The 17271-nt window shown below is 41.8% G+C and overlaps 2 protein-coding genes across 9 annotated transcripts in view, besides 3 other annotated features; one reads left to right on the top strand and one right to left on the bottom strand.

Moving 5' to 3' along the window:
• LIPA (lipase A, lysosomal acid type) overlaps positions 1-17271 on the top strand; it is a 201108-nt gene that overhangs the window by 22061 nt on the left and 161776 nt on the right. The gene's annotated exons all lie outside the window — the stretch shown is intronic.
• Positions 118-167: an enhancer, noted in NCBI's record as "active region_3748". NCBI's record gives its function as "activates an Ori minimal core promoter by ATAC-STARR-seq in GM12878 lymphoblastoid cells {active_cell/tissue: GM12878}" and the evidence as "EXISTENCE:reporter gene assay evidence [ECO:0000049][PMID:35858748]".
• Positions 398-447: an enhancer, noted in NCBI's record as "active region_3747". NCBI's record gives its function as "activates an Ori minimal core promoter by ATAC-STARR-seq in GM12878 lymphoblastoid cells {active_cell/tissue: GM12878}" and the evidence as "EXISTENCE:reporter gene assay evidence [ECO:0000049][PMID:35858748]".
• Positions 1000-1161: a silencer, noted in NCBI's record as "fragment chr10:91151215-91151376 (GRCh37/hg19 assembly coordinates)". NCBI's record gives its function as "represses an EF-1alpha promoter that drives an FKBP-Casp9 reporter gene in an ReSE screen in K562 erythroleukemia cells {active_cell/tissue: K562}" and the evidence as "EXISTENCE:reporter gene assay evidence [ECO:0000049][PMID:32094911]".
• Positions 7414-14563, bottom strand: IFIT1B (interferon induced protein with tetratricopeptide repeats 1B). The gene is made up of 2 exons (NM_001010987.2): positions 14479-14563; positions 7414-9300 (listed from the first exon to the last, which is right to left on the bottom strand). The coding sequence occupies exons 1-2, from the start codon at positions 14481-14483 to the stop codon at positions 7881-7883; spliced, it is 1425 nt and encodes a 474-aa protein (NP_001010987.1). The 5' UTR covers positions 14484-14563; the 3' UTR covers positions 7414-7880.

Below are 17271 nucleotides of genomic sequence, written 5' to 3'. Positions count from 1 at the left end.
TTAAACCCCAAGACAGTGTTATATAAGGGAGCTAAACAGCAGCCAATGGTGTAAGCTGTGGGTGTGTCCTTGCAAGTTGGAAACCTAGGGAAACCGAAAGGGGAAAGTGAAACTAAAGCTAGCGGAATTCCTGCTGACGGGGGGGGGTGGGGAATGAAACTTTGTTTCTATTTTAAAACAGATAAACTGCAGACCTGCAACCATAGATGTTTCTAGTGCTGCAGAAACCCAATGACTGGCCAGCATTTGGAACGAGATTCACGTCCTCCCTAAAGAACATCAGTCCATTGCTGCCTATTGTGGCAGTTGGTGGCTGGATTCTGGATGAATACACAGAAAAAGGAGAATTGAAGGAGATAGCTCTATTTTCAGTTTCTATATTTAGAAGGAACCTACTATCAAATATAAAAATCTACTCTTAATTAATTGAGTAACAAGGCTTTTGGTTGCTGGTTGCTTTTTGGTTGCTTACTTTTGGTTTCAGCTTGACGGAAATAAGCAACCAATCTGGTTTAGGAATGAAGGAAAGAGACCAATACCTAGAAAGCCTTCTAACCCCTGATGACTTAGGCAGGAGGTAAAAGCAAGGAGGTATGGTTTGAAATAGAGAGCCCTCTATTGCTCCATCATGGACACTGTCATTCTGAATCAAATTCCAGTACAACCTCCACTACAGTTCATGGAATTTGAGTTTAAATAGTTAGCAACTACCTGGCACATAGAAGCATGCAAATAAGTGGTAACTATTATTATTATTATTTTCAGTCATCAAGTTAAAAATAATGATTCTTGGCTGGGTGCGGTGGCTCATGCCTGTAGTCCCAGCACTTTGGGAGGCCAAGGTGGGCGGATGACAAGGTCAGGAGATGGAGACCATCGTGGCCAACATGGTGAAACCCCCTCTCTACTAAAATACAAAAAATTAGCTGGGTGTGGTGGTGTGCACCTGTAGTCCCACCTACTCGAGAGGCTGAGGCAGGGGAATTGCTTGAACCTGGGAGGCAGAGGTTGCAGTGAGCCGAGATCACACCACTGTACTCCAGTCTGGTGACAGAGCGAGACTCCGTCTAAAAAAATAAATAAATAAAAAATAAAAAATTGTTGTCCGGGTGCATTGGCTCAGGCCTGTAAGTCCCAGTATTTTGGAAGGCAAGGCGGGAGGATCACTTGAGCCCAGGAATTGTAGACCAGCCTGGACAACATAGGGAGACCCCAACTCTACAAAAAAACTGAAAAAAAAAGCTGGGTGTGGTGGTGTGTGTCTGTGGTCTCAGCTACTCAGGAGGCTGAGGTGGGAGGCTCACTTGAGCCCAGGAGGTAGAGGCTGCAGTGAGCCATGGTCACACCACTGCACTCCAGCCTGGGCAACAGAGTGAGCCCCTGTCTCAAATAATCATAACAATATATAAAAACAATGTTTCCTTTAAAAAAACCTACCTACTTTGTCTTTTAACATAAGAAGCAGAAGAGGAGCAGGTGCAAGAGTATTTTCCTTTTGGAAACACTTAACTGGGCACACTGCCAGATCTAAACAGTTTCTGCTCAACTCCCTGCCAGACTCATCTCCCATGTCAGCTCTCACCAATTCTGTAAGCTTCCACAGAGAGTTCAACAACTAGTTAGAAAGTTCTACACAAATAAGAATTTCTGAATTAATAGGACAGGTTTTGTCTTGCACTCAGATACATGATCAGGCCATAAGCAAATGCTGAAACAGATGAATTAGAAAACATCTTTTGGGGAGCAAGATGTCTTTGGAATTCTTATGGGAAAAAATGGGTTTTCAATTTGCCAATGCACTAGATAGCATGCAGAGATATGAACAAAAAGTTTATCTTGCCATTGCTGTGAATTTGGCAGCAGTCTTGGTTCTACGGGGCTATGGCCCAGGCTGATTAGGTATTCAGAATCTTGCTTAGTGTCTCTTTGGGCTAAACAAACCCATGAGGGACACAGGATAGAACAGCATTAAGGAAAGAAAAGCCAATCGCGCGCGTGTGTGTGTGTGTTTACAGATAAAAAAGAAAATGGGAACCAGAGAGGATCAAACATTTAGAAAATGAAATTTCAGCACTAGGTTGTGAGTTCATTCCCAGGAGTCTAAGCTGGGCTCTGCAAGGGACTGACCAGTTATGATAAACTGCTTCACCTCTATGAATCTCAATTTCCTCAGCTGAGAAGTCATTTGGAATAGGTTGGCAGATCTCAACCCTCACTGCACATTAGAATCAGCCAGGTAAATCTCAAAAATAATGCTAACTATGCCCATTCCAGAACAATTGAACATATACTTAGGTACAGGCCTCTGGCTCAGTATTAAAAAGAAATCTTCAGCCTGGGCACAGTGGCTCACGCCTGTAATCCCAGCATTTTGGGAGGACAAGACGGGCGGATCACCTGAGGTTGGGAGTTCGAGACCAGCCTGACTAACATGGAGAAACCCCGTCTCTACTAAAAATACATAATTAGCCGGGCGTGGTGGCACATGCCTGTAATCCCAGCTACTCGGGAGGCTGAGGCAGGAGAATCGCTTGAACCCGGGAGGTGGAGGTTGTGGTGAGCCGAGATCGTGCCATTTCATTGCACTCCAGCCTGGGCAACAAGAGTGAAACTCCATCTCAAAAAAAAAAAAAAAAAAAAAAAGAAAGAAATCTTCAGGTGATTTTGATGTAGACCTGCGCCCTGAGCCGGGAACCAGGGCCTCAATTATCCCTAATGTCTATTGTATGTCTGAAATTCTCTGACTGAGAGATATGGGACTCAATCCCTGGACCCACTTCCTGTTCTGTGAGGCCCAGATTCAGTATTTTACGACTCAATGCCTTGTTTCCTCACCTACACAATGGGTAATGAATTCCTTAGTCTCTTCTTCATTCACAGGATGATATGGAAAAAGAATGTTATTCTGAGTGTATTTTTTAAAAATTATAATATGATAATATGGACAAATGCTAAGCCATTTCTGCTGAAGGGTCTCAAATATCCAATCACAACTTATTAAGGAATGGGCTCCATAGAAATTTCCCCTGTCTTTTCCAGGGTCATCTCTTGTAGTCTAAAATCTCTTATCAGCTTGCTAATGGCCAGGTAGAATAGGATCTAGTGATCTGGTTACCTAATGAAAAGCTGATTTCTTGTTAGAAACAAATTCAGCCCCTAGGTGGTACTACTTCCTTGGGCTTCTCTGTCTCCTCAGCAGTCCTTTCCATCAGTTTGTACTGCAGAAGTTGCTACTGTACTTGTTTTTTGGTAATCATAGTTAAATGAAGGCATTGTAGTGACATGAAAGACACACAAGATGCTTTCATGCTAGAATCATAAAAACCAAAGGCTTGACTGAATCGATCAATCCATTTCCATGTTCCTGCATCTTTGATTTTCCTCACGTTTTTCATTTAATTATAAAAGTCAGGTTTCTAGATATTTCTCTTTTTAATTTATAATTTAACATTTAACAATTGGAATATCTCTGCTAATTACATGTTATATACTCTTTTGAATGTATTCAATCACAAAGATATTTTTAGCTATAGCCTATTTTCTGAGGAATGTAATTCTCAGTGTTCTGACCACTGTATGAAAACTATTTTCTTGGCTTCTGAGATTTTTCCTAAACTACTTCCAGTCGCATCCATGGAGAGAGGACTTGGACTCCAGAAATTCTTCGTTGCAAATGATTTGATGATTTACATATCTTCTCATGAAACTTCAAGAGACCTCTCAGCCCATGATATCACTCAGCCCACCTTGACCCACAGTTTGGTTTACTGCAACCTATTCAAGTACTACTAGAATTTTTATTAGCTCATTTTTTTTTTTTTTTTACATTTCAGGCATATTTTGAAACAACTATAGACACAAGAAATTTCAGAAAAGATCCTGTGTACTTTTCATCCAAATTCCCCAAATAGTGACATCTTATATAGCTGTAGTACAATATTAAAACCAGGAAGATGACATGGATACTGTGTATATATTTTGAAGATAAAATATGACATGAATCTTACAAACCCAGGTACACTGGATTTTTTTACTTAACATAAAAAATCTTACGTACATATTTTTCCTCCCAAACTAAACATTCCTTTTCTAAGTGATGCCAGTTTAATTATTCATGTGATCTATTATATAATACACCAACAACCGTCTCTGAATAACAAAATTAACAAAACACCTCCAGAATGGTGCTAAGTAGAGTTTAAGAATTTTTTTCGGCCAGGCGCGGTGATTCACACCTGTAATCCCAGCACTGTGGGAGGCCAAGATGGGCGGATCACCTGAGGTCAGGGGTTCGAGACCATGCTGGCCAACATGGCAAAACCCTGTCTCTACTGAAAATACAAAAATTAGCTGGGTGTGGTGGCACCCACCTGTAATCCCAGCTACTCAGGAGGCGGAGGCAGGAGAATCACTTGAACCCAGGAGGCGGAGATTGCAGTGAGCTGAGATCATGCCACTGCACTCCAGCCTGGGTGACAGAGCGAGACACTGTCTCAAAAAAAAAAGAATTTTTTTCCATGTTAGTTTTGTTTATAAGCTATATCCTATTAAAAATGTAGAGTCAAATTACAGCGCACTTAAAAATCACTTGGAATCCTTCCTTCCTATGTGATTTTATCCACCATTCCCTACATATTTTGGATAATTTGTCTCAGTTTGCTGTACTTTTTAGATACTGCTATTTGCCCTTTTTATCCAAACATTTTATTATTATACATGGTCAAGCAGAGAGAAAAGTTGAGAGTATTTTACAATGAACACTTGTATAACTAGATTCTACAGTTAACATTTTACTATATTTACCTTATTACATATCTATTCATCCACTCATTTCTCTATCCACCCATCCATTTATTTTATATTTTCTTTTGCATAAAAGGGCCTTCAGTACAATTAATTGATAAAACATTTAGCTTACATATGTGGATTGCTTTTCTAAATATAAATTTGGTTTTATAATTAGGCAAAATATTGACATGGTTGCAAAAACAAACACAGAGAAGTCTGGCTCCTATTGCTGTCCCTTTCCTTTTCCTCTCTTTCTTATTGGTAACCATTACAAAATTTCATTTATCCATCCACTGTTTTCATTTTAATACAAGCAGGTAGATAAGTTTTATATACCCTCCAATTTTTTCTCTCTTCTTCGCTGGCCCATATTGCATGTAGAAGCCACTGATAAAAGCAGCACTTTAGATGATATTCAGCCAATGAATCCATAATTGTTTATTGATTCCCTCTTATGTTCCCAGGGTATGGTGAATTGATGTTGTTAAAATAGATTTTTTTTTTTTTTTTTTTGAGACGGAGTCTTGCTCTGTCACCCAGACTGGAGTACAGTGGCGGGATCTCTCGGCTCACTGCAAGCTCCACCTCCTGGGTTCACGCCATTGTCCTGCCTCAGCCTCCCGAGTAGCTGGGACTATAGGCGCCCGCCACCACGCCCGGCTAATTTTTTGTATTTTTAGTAGAGGCGGGGTTTCACTGTGTTAGCCAGGATGGTCTCGATCTCCTGACCCCATGATCTGCCCACCTCGGCCTCCCAAAGTGCTGGGATTACAGGCGTGAGCCACGGCGCCCAGCCTAAAATAGTTTTAAGACTTACTTGGTGCTTATCCAAACACACACACACTCTCTCTCTCTCTCACACACACACACACACACACACACACTCATATACCCACAGACTCATAAACTCTATTAAGTAGATGCAGTTGCAAAAGGTTTTGGTTCCAGTACCTGGAGTGGTGGGAAGGTTTCAATATTAATTAATGAATGAATTTGATTCAATAAAACCTAATTTCCTGACAACTTACTAACTAGCTGAGTAATTTTATTTTATTTGTGATGAATTCAGCCAAGAGGACTGTAAATCTCTTGTTACTTCTTTTTGCCAAGAGTAACCAGTAGCTAAGGAGCAAATAGTTGTCAGTTTACTAACAATTACAGAACTGAGCCAAACCAAAAGCTTAGAGTTGTCCAGTTAGAAGAACATTGTCTCTGTGTTTTCTAATTAGTAGAGATATGTCCTCAGATGTCTCATTTAGATTAATTCCATGAATGGAGGCAAATCTCCCCTACAAGAAGCTCTGTGGCAGTTACAAGTAAGGAATTCAGAGGCCAGGTGAGCCTGAATCACACCTTGTTTACAGGGAAAAGTCAATAGTAGTTTCCTCTGGTTAAATTGAATAAGTACGTTCTTTGTTTACTATCAACAAAGTTGAAAAAGGTGTTACTCCTGTGCTTTCCAGGTGTCATCTAAATGACTCCACTCCCCTGCCTCCCCACTCTCCCAAATCTCCATCATTGGTCACTCCCCGCTTTCAAGGATCCAAGTAACATAAGTCAATCTTAAAATTCCATGGCCTGTAGTAGTAAATGCCTCCCTAGTTTTTTGAAAAATTCTTGGTAGGAAGTGGTACATGGTGGCATGCACTTATGGTTTTGGCTACTCAGGTGGCTGAGGAGGGAAGATCTCTTGAGGCCAGGAGTTTAAGGCTGCAGCGTGCTATGACTGTGCTTGTAAATAGCCACTGAACTCCAGCCTGAGCAACATCACAAGACCCTGCCTCTAATAAATAAATAAAAATTATAAAAATTCTTGGTCAGGTTTCTATTCCATCACTTCCTCTGCTTCAGGCCTTCTAATGCTGTGTAAGTTGGTTCTACATTTTTCTATTTGAAATAAAACACAAAATACACTTGTTTTTGAATATCACTAATAAAATACACTCCAAGAATTTGTGATCTTAGCAAAGCTCTTAGGTGTAATCTTAGATGTGTGATTTTAGGTGTGATCTCAGGTGTGAATAAATGTCCAGCAGTGTGTTTGGGTCACGTAGATCCCTTGTGATTGCCAGCAGCTGGACACATGTAAACAAAAATTTGAATTTATTATAAGGCTTGGCTCACTGACCAGCAGGTCCCAGCTACAGTAGGGCCTTGGGAAATAGAACTCCAGCTAGAATGCTGTAGAACTCCTGAAATTCCCTCCTTTCTAACTCTTGTCTTTGCTCATTTATTTTACTCTTAGGTTTTGTTGCAGGTCAGTGACCCTGGCCACATGGAACAGAAACCTTCCCTGTTTAGGTCTCCTTTGTTTGGGAGACTGAGGATGAAAACTGCTCATTCCAAAGGCAAAATTTTAAGGAAAATGATTCTTATTGTCCCAGCAGATGTAGGTGCCTAAAACAGCATTAATAAGCCTTGGTCAATGAATGCAGGGATGTGTTGTGGAAGAATAGATGCTCCTGCCGCAGACACATGGATTGAAGAGGAAAAAATGAGGGGGGTGGCCAGGCAATAGAGTATGTGTTATACCGAAGTATTTTGTATTTCATCAGACTATACATTTTTGAAGGCAGCAATTGGGAAAGACTGTTGTCTCAATCTCAAATAATGGAATTCAGAAACTATGATTAAGTATAGAGTTTATTTGAGCACAAAGCTTGAGGGTAACCACTCAGGAAATACAGACACCTAATGACTGGAGTCAGCATTCCAAAATGGGGAAGTTAAGATTTCACTTACATAGGCAGTAAACAGGGTTGCAGCATTTTCCACATAAGGTCAGTACACACGTTATAGCAATTTGATCGGTTACTACTTGCTATGTTCCAAGAAAGATTGCTTTACCATTCCATCAGGAGGGATGATACTTTCAGGGGGTCTTATGTCTGGTGCCACAAGGCCTTTCCTGATCATTTACAGGAAAAAGCAGAAGTTGCAGTTGCATGCTACATAACTCAGGCCACACAGCCACATTCCTCTCAAGGCTCAAAATAAGGTAAATTTCCAACAGCTTTAAGTTTGCATTATTTAATTTCATAGTCATTCTATTTAGTTATAAGACCATTAAATGGATAATGGTGACCTCTATGTTAAAATATAGGGTTCAGGTCAGCAGCCAGCCTCAGAGCCCTCTCATAGCACAGCAAAGCATCACTTACTTCTCCTTTCAATTTGTGGATAAGCCCAAGGAGGCTGACACTTTCCACAACCCGTACATTCTGGTGAATACATCTTTTAGCCAATTTCTCTAAAGCATTGAGAAGTTTTTCCCTGGAATGGGACATTTTTTCTATTTTCAAACCTTTTAAATAATGGGTAATTGCTTTATCTTGAGATTTCCCATGATGTTCTTGGAAACGGCCGTAGTGGTAATGAATCTCTTGCTTTAGCTGATCTTCAAAGATCTTCATGCGTAACCCTTTCTGAAAATGTTCCTCAGCCTTTCTGTGGTGGCCTATTTCTGCATACGTTTCAGCCAGGTCAACATAGGCCATCTCAAATGTTCGCTTTAACATTATAGTCTTTTCAAATTTGCATATAGCCAATTGAACCAATCTGTCCACAGTTTCCCTATCTTGCCCTCTAGGCTGCCAGTTTGTAGCTTCCTTGATTTGGATCATTTGTGCCCTGTAGCAAAGCCCCATTTGGTGATGCAGGAAGGCAGAAGTGGGTGTTGTCTCCAAGGCCATTTTTAAGAGCTCAAGAGCTTTATCCACAGACCCTTTTCTTCGATAAAACTTGGCTGCATATTGAAAGACATAGGCCTGTGAAGATATACTGGTCAGAGCTTCTTCAATGTACTTTTCTCCTTCAGCTTCCTGTCCTTCATCCTGAAGCTTCAGGGCAAGGAGAACCCTAATATATACATCATCTGGATTTAGCCTGACAGCTCGTTTTAGGACGTGCAGAGAAAATGCCTTATTCCTCCCTGATGCTGTGTTAAATTTATCCAGGCGATAGACGGTGATTGCGTACCCAGTATTGAATTCAGGGTTTTCAGGGTTCCCTTCCAGAGCCTTTTCAAAGCAGGTCTTGGCCCGTTCATAATTCTTTCCACCACACTTCGCCAAGGCCCATCCTTCCTCACAGTCCACCTCTGGACACTCCATTCTATAGCGGGAAGGATTTGCAAACTTCTTGCAAGTGTTCTCCACCTTGTCCAGGTAAGTCTGGGCTTCTGCCAATCTGCCCATGTGGTAATACACCCAGGCAAAGTTGCCCCAGGTCACCAGACTTCTAATATCTGCTTGGTTGGCATGTTCTTTCTGAATTAAGTCTTCAGCCTTTTTCAAGCTGACCAGGGCTTCCTCATTCTGGCCTTTCAGGTGTTTCACATAGGCTAGTAGGTTGTGTATTCCCACATTGTATTTGGTGTCCAGGAACTGAATCTCTTCCCAGATCCTGTTTTCTAAATCAGGAATTTCAGGGGCTTCAATTAACAACTTCCATGTAAAGTGACATCTCAGCTGAATCAGGCTGTCTTCAATAAGCTTTCCATCAGATTCTTCACTGTAAAAATAGGCAGCAATTAATTACATTTTGAGAAAGTATTCAGTCCACTGAAAATGAAGCCAGCACTTCAAATAGTCAAATATGCTCTATCCTAATTTCCCTGCCTCCATTATCTGGTGCCCCTCTGGGTTCTACAGTCATGTCATTAGGAAAGAGAACAGGTTGACATAAAAACCAAGGGGAAATGCTAATCATCTTGTAGTGCCAACAGATAGGTTACATGAAGTCTAAAAGTCAATTCAAAAGAGGTTAATTCTGCTAACATCAAAATAATCTCAGCACCACCCTCAACACTGCAAAACCTGTCTTCTTTCTGCTTCCTCCTGACTTTGCAGTCCATGACTAATGCAGTCAGAAGAAATGTGGAGAGAGGGTTCACAGAAAGGTGGGTTCCTTACTCATCTTTTTCATGTTCTCAACACGTAAACACATTTTGGTTTTCTCTCCTCCCATGAAGGGTTCTGAGTAAAATATGAGAGCCAAATATGGTTTCAAATGCAGGACTTCATGAATGCTCAAGCCAGGTTGGAGAATGTGGTAGGGTTTCTAACTCCTTTGCCTGTGTGCACTTACTCAACCAATCCTAAATGGAGGGGTTCCAAGTGGGTGGAACCACCTCACAAGGGCAGCCTTACTGATGGGGACAGAAGAAGAGGCATGAATGAACATTACATAGGTAAGATGTGTCTCTTTGAAGAAGTGGCAAGTCCCACTTTTGTAAGTCAGTGCTCCTGACATCAAGTAACCCTGAAGCCTAGTGGAGGACAGGCTATAAAATCTCAACAATTGTAGTAATCTCTCAGCCACTCATGAGGAAGAGAGAATAATATGAAGTCAGTGGGACCAGAAGGGTTTTTTTCCCCAATAGTTCACGCTCCTCTGAAGTGGAACTGAAGTCCTAGTCTCCCTATAAGAACATGAAGGAAGAAAAAGAAATTTGTCCTTAATAGTTGAAAAAGTGGTCCTCACATCCTATGTAAGTATATTTACCTCTGTGTTCTAAACTAATTACTTTACAGTCTATACTTGACATGTTTTCTATCCGTTAGGCCCAAGGAATGATTTCAGAGAGGACCATTATGAAATTTTCTCTTACTCTCTATATGGCAATGTATAGCAAAAACAATTTTTATATAAATCCTGACTCAATATAACCATAATATAATATAATATAACCATAATCTAATCACAAAAAATGGATGATGAAACATTCTTTTTTGAAAATAAAGGGAAAGAAAAAGTTCACGGCCAGGTGTGGTGGCTCACACCTGTAATCCTAGCATTTTGGGAGGCCGAGGTAGGCAGATTGCCTGAGCTCAGGAGTTCAAAACTAGCCTGGGCAACATGGTGAAACCCCATCTCTACTAAAAATACAAAAAATTAGCCAGCGTTGTCCCAGCTACTCTGGAGGCTGAGGCACAAGAATCACTTGAGTCTGGAAAGTGGAGGTTGCCATGAACCGAGATCATGCCACTGCACTCCAGGCTGGGCAACAGAGCCAGACTCTGTCTCAAAAAAATTAATAATAAAGAAAATAAAGGAAAGGAAAGAAAGGAAGAAAGGAAAGGATTCACAAGATAATGAATAGCACCACAAAGTTGGGCAGAGGATACTCAGGCTTATGACTGCTGCTTTGAGCACAGCTGGCAGCTCAACACAGCCCTCACTTTTCCCTCAGAGTCTCCATCTAAAAAACTCCCTACTATGCTTAGACCCTCCTTGAGTGCATTCCTGCCCACAATCCCAAGCCATCTTCTCCATCCTTGAGTCTGTGGAATATGAGAGTCCTGGCATATTGCTTTAGGATAGGACTGTATAGTTGACTGCTGAGATGAGGAGTCCCAGAAATCTTCCTTCCAGCTGTGGCCCAGGAAGATTACCCAATGAAACCTGTGTGTGGGGGTGTGTGTGGGACATATGCTGGGTGAGGTGGGGTCAGGAGTAAGTAAAATTAATATTGTGCTGAAGAATGCTCACTGAAAATAGTCACCACCCCTACAGAAGATGGAATCGGGAAGAGTTTTTGACCCAAATCGTCCACTCATGCCCCGTGGAGCTTGTGCTATGATGAGAACAGACACTACCCAGGGAAAATAATCCACACAGACTTCCATTACTCTAGAGCTGCTGGAATATTTGAAGATAAGCCATTCCAAGCTTTCTAAATATGTACCCAATCTCAGCATCTCAGCTGCTAGCCCACCCAGCACATTTGTGAGCAGTAGAAAGAGATCAGTCTTCCTCTGAGTGATCTAATCATGGCCATGCATTGATAGGTGGAAAAAAGTATACTAGATTTTGGCTTTCACTGAGATTGTAGAATTTCAAGTGCACAATTTACACAATCTTACAAGGCTGCCCTGCCAAGTTCCAGAAGAGAATTATTGCTCTTTCTTATAGGTGGTTGTTCATCAACATGTATCTTCTTGACTTGGGCCCTGGGAAGACTAAGGAGTAGAATATCACCCTAGAGGTGTCCTCACTCTCTAAAATGGAAATGCTGAGAGCCTAAAGTCCTCCTTTTATCTGGTGAGCATACAGAAAGTGCTGTTATTAGTAGTATACATATTATCATCAAATTAGGCCCCAGCGTGGTGGCTAATGCCTGTAATCCCAACACTTTGAGAGTCCAAGGCAGGTGAATTGCTTGAGCCCAGGAGTTCACGACCAGCATGGGCAACATAGCGAAACCATGTCTCTCAAAAAATACAAAAATTAGCCGGGCCTGGCGATGCACACCAGTAGTCCCAGCGACTTGGGCTGACGTGGGAGGATCACCTGAGCCCGGGCAGGTGGAGGCTGCAGTGAGCTGTGATCATGCCACTGCACTCCAGACTGGGTGACAGAGGGAGGCCCTGTCTGGAAAAAAAAAAAAAAAAAGATGAGTTTGTGCATGTATGTAGTGACCTAATCCCTGTATGCCTGTGGCAGACAGGGACTCGTCACCATGTTTTGTGAGGCATTTCCCTGGATCTTGTCCACTTAAGCTCCACTTAAGCTGTCTTGATCAATAAGCATGAATGGAAGGAGGAGCTCAATCTGCTCCTCTGTCCCTGAACCAGTGGGATCAGGAGGATTTTGATGTGGGCATTATTCAGTCTGGGATAGTCCAGATTCCCCTTAGGCCACCTCAGGTCAGTGGCTTCTAGAAACATACGCCCAGGCCATTGCAAAACCTCTCACATAGACTAGCTACCAAGGCAGCAGGGAATGAAAGGCTTGCTTTCTGTCAACTCCACAGATGCAGACACAACTAATACCTTTTGTTTTTTTTTTTTTTTGAGACGGAGTCTCACTCTGTTGCCCAGGCTGGAGTGCAGTGGTGCAATCTCGGCTCACTTCAAGCTCCGCCTCCCAGGTTCACGCCATTCTCCTGCCTCAGCCTCCTGAGTAGCTGGGACTACAGGCGCCCGCCACCACTCCCGGCTAATTTTTTGTATTTTTTAGAAGAGGCGGGGTTTCACCTTGTTAGTCAGGATGGTCTTGATCTCCTGACCTCGTGATCTGCCCATCTCGGCCTCCCAAAGTGCTGGGATTACAGGTGTGAGCCACCATGCCCAGCCACAACTAACATCTTATGACCAGGAGCCCGTTATATTAAAAAGAGAGACTTGGGTACTCTTGTGGTGAATTTTTTTGCAATCCTTCATTTATAATTTCTTCTCAAGACAGGTCTACATGTTTGCTAGAAAGGGATCTCAAAAGAGCAGCCCCTTTTTCTGTAAAGTTCTTCCTCTCCCACTGACTGCAACATCAGATGGGAGAACTCTAGCAGGTCAGAATACTTTTGAGTGAAAGCATTTTCTGCAGGTCACCAGTTCTAACTACACCAGGAAAAAAAGAAATATATATTTTGTGGAACAAACATATCACAATGCCTACAAAATTTCTTATTTTCTAACATCTAGTATAATGGTTTTTCAAATTTTAGCAGGCAACATGATCACCTGGAAAACTTATAACACACAGATTGATGGGCCCCACCCTAGAGTTTCTGAGTCAGCAGGTTTAGGGTAGGGCCTGAGAATTTGCATTTCTGCTACCTTCCCAAGTGATGCTGATGTTGCTAGTCAGGGGACCACACTTTGAGAACAGTTAATTCAGTGAAAAGCAAATTTCATAGTAATCACAATTTCATAGTTTCACAGTAATCACAAAATTTGACTTGGTATCAAAAACAAACAAACAACAGAAAAACAGCCATCTCTGAAAGTAGCTTCTTTTTCCCACGTGAATTTAACCAATTTATCAAATAAAAATAGCTGCTTCTTCTCACCTGGATGCCTAAAAGAGTATTTTGTATATTAAAAGGATCTCAATGCTCTTGCCCTGACTGGTCCCCGGGCCAGTCTCCTCTCTAGGCTCAGGCCTCTGTTCCCTGGTGAACAGTCTTTAAGTGTTGCCTGGGTAATTGTCCCTCTATTAGAAAGTGCTACAGAAATGACATCTTTGGAAATAAGATTGCTTTCTCGTTTATTTCCTTAAGAGCATTGCTGCTTTTATTAAGCCAGCTACCCTTACTAAGCGAGCTCTGTAACAGGAGTTAGGAAACTTGCCTCTACATATATTCTCATCTTGCCCCTCTGAATCTACTTTCCTACATTCTTCACCATGCTCTGTGCTTGGAAGCTGACTCTATGGACTTTATTAACTCCAAAACTCTTTTATTTTTTACTTTCTACTGGGGTTGGCCCACTGGGGAGCACCAGCCAGATATTAAATTGCAGGAGGAGGTGAAGGTCATGGAATTAATTCCTAAGCTCCCACTGTGCTCTGCTTGAGGTTGTCAGTGATTTTTTCACCAAAGGCCTCTTGAGAAGCCCCTCCCCTACAGCTATAGCTTAGAGTCTCCTTGGGTCTGGTTCTCTCCTCTTGCTCCTGTAGGCCCAGGGTTATCATGTTACCACTGTTGTAAACCAACACGCCTCTTCCCGCTGCCCTGCAACCAACAAGCACCATTTCCTGTTGATTTCCCTAAACTTTGCCCATATCGTCTTAAATAGCCCCCTTATTAAACTCTTCTTGGTTATCATGTTGAGGGTGCCTATCAGGGTCAGAACCACCAGTGGGACAGCTCCCTTAGGAGAAGGCCTGTCAAAAAATTGGCCCTTAAGGAAAGTTTTAGAATTTCAAAGTGTGCAGAAATAAGGTCAGTGAAGCAGAGAAAGACTTTACCTCATGGTGCTATGAAGATAGCAGGTGATCTGTAGTGCTTTGGTTCAGGCTTGGAGGCTCCTTCAAGGTTCATCCACAGAGTTCTAGGGCTTCTCAGATAAGCATGGTGCTTATATATGGGAGGTATATCCAGGCAGTTTTTTACACCCTTGATGCCTAGTGAATTGGCAGGGTGAAAATGATACAGAGGAATAGGGCTGTCTCTGCTTTGATTACAAATACATGCTGAGTTTTGGCAGCTAAGAGGATGGGTGTGTGAGAAGCAGTTTTGATACGCAAATTCCCTTGCTGGAGTCAATGTGGTGTAGGAGATAGAGGGTAACTGGACTTTATGATGACATTCAGTGTTGTGGAAAAACCAGTGGCAGACAGGAACGTATATTTTTGTGAATCATGTCAGACTCTGTTGTCAAACTTGTTACTATCACATGTATCCCGCCAGGTGGTTCCAGGGACGTCTACAATGGAAGCTCCTTAGACCAGGGTCAGTGGTTTGTGCCTAAAAGAATACTGTAGAAAGTCATTGTCAATTTGTGGAAGAATGAGGTTGCAGATGGTTAGGTCTTCTTCTGTGGGGCTGTGTTAGGCAAAACAACTCCTCAATTTTGAGATATTGGTCTATAAGAAGGGTCCCATACTGGTTACATCCTCCAGCAGCATTTGCATTACTGCCAACCCTGGCTATAGTGGAGCCTATTCAAGCATATTGACTGTTTTGATGATCTTTACTGTTCACCATTAGTGGTTCAAACAACAATGTTTGAGCTGGTCAGTAGAGAAACATATGCAATGTAGTCAGAGAATGTGATGGGGTCATGGGGGTTAAAAATCTAAATCCAAATTCACATAGTTCTTCTGAGTTGTCCTTATGTTTCTTCTGTTTCTACTATTTTGAAGATTATCTGTTACAAAGCAACAACCATCAGAGAGTCAATCAAACAATGTTCACATGTTTAATGAAAAATTTATATGATCCCAAGGCTGATGTAATTGCCCACACAATTAGCAGAGAAAAAGGAAAATTTGGAAAGCTGCTATTCTGAATTCCTCTTGTGAATTGTTACAATGTCATCCTGTACGTTTCTGGATCTTGGTTTTGTAGGGGTAGTGCACCAAGATAAGCAAAAGGGCAAAGACTGAGAGCGATTTCCCTCTGAGTGAGCATTTCAAGGTAGGGTTATTAACTTCATTACAGTCTTCTCATAATTACCAAATGAAACTGTAGCCTCGCTGTGCTATTTCTTCTTTGTCCTGGGCCTGTAACTAGACTATATTTCCCAGGCTCCCATGTGGTAAGGTGTGGTCATGGGCATGGGATGGGAGGCTGTCAGGAAGCAGAAATGATTCTATAATTGGGTATCTTAAATTGTGTCTGGAAAAAGAGAAGACTAGACCAAGGTGACAGGTGTAATTTGAAAGGAAGCAGCAGTCATTCATATTGGCCAGTTTAAGGGGCTGCTTGATTATTTTCGAATCCAGTTGGAAAATATTCGTATTTTTGTCTGCACTCAGACCTGATTACAGAGTGGCCTTGTATTTTGTCTTGACCCATCATGGTCACAGGTGTTAATGATGCTCTCAGATGTCTGGGGCAGCTCTTCTCTTTCTTTTCAGGGAACTTCTGAGTTACTGCTCCAGTTACTGCTCCTGACCTTTCTAAAGCCAAAAATTATATAGACAAGAAGGACTACCCAGAAAAGGAACGTCACATAAGATCTTATGCATTCACAGTTGAAATGAGAGCAGACATCTTAGGAAAAGAATATGCTTAAGAAAGAGTATAGTATATAATCTCTCTCTCTATGTGAATTAAAAACCCATCTCCACGTCTATTCAAGGAAGGATTTAGGCAACTTGAGATAGACCACATCTCCCCATTCGCATGAGACAAGTTCCTAGAAGAATGTGCTGGACCTCTTGACTTCTTCTTCTTTTTTTTTTTTTTTTTTTTTTAAGATAGAGTCTCGCTGTATCACCTAGGCTGGAGTACAGTGGCACTATCTCTGCTCACTGCAACCTCTGCCTCCCAGGTTCAAGTGATTCTCATGCCTCAGCCTCCAGAGTAGCTGGCACTACAGGTGTGCACCACCATACCCAGCTATTTTTTTGTATTTTTAGTAGAGATGGGGTTTCACCATGTTGGCCATCCTGGTTTCGAACTCCTGACCTCAGGTGATGCACCTGTGTTGGCCTCCTAAAGTGTGGGATTACAGGTGTGAGCCACTGCACCTGGCCCGTCTTGACATCTTACAAGCACAGGATATCATTTAGATCCATGTATTCTTCCATAAACCCACCAAATCTCAACATTACTTAAGTAATGAGAATCCCCATTTTATTCCTTGAGTATACTCTAATAATAAAAGTAGGCAGAAAAATTCTCTAAGCATAATGACAGCACAGAAATGGAGGTTAGAACCATTCAGGGGAATGAGGGAAAGGAAACTAGGCCCACGTAGCCCTGCTGTGGAAGACCAAGTTTGCTGAAAGGGAAGAATGATTGTTAGTCAAACATTGTTCCATCTGGGGTTGAGCAAACCAAGGCCATTAGAAAAAACCTTCTACACCTGTCAGGTGACAGAATCACCTGATGGAGGGGGTTCTGCACAGATATTTGCCATCTTGTTTATTTTGGGGTTGTGTACTCTGAGTATAAGACAATAGCACCCCATCATAGAACAACCATTATTCTATATTTGGGGCCAATGGGATGTTTTCTTCTGAGGTTTCCTTTCTTGCTCTGCAGCTTGGGCATAATGAGAACTATTAAAACCCTTTACCTTTACTTGTCTT

This window comes from Homo sapiens, chromosome 10 (genome assembly GCF_000001405.40).
Source record: "Homo sapiens chromosome 10, GRCh38.p14 Primary Assembly".
Taxonomy (NCBI): domain Eukaryota; kingdom Metazoa; phylum Chordata; class Mammalia; order Primates; family Hominidae; genus Homo; species Homo sapiens.
Note: the sequence above shows the minus strand (reverse complement) of the source record. Positions and strands in the feature narration are given on the sequence as shown.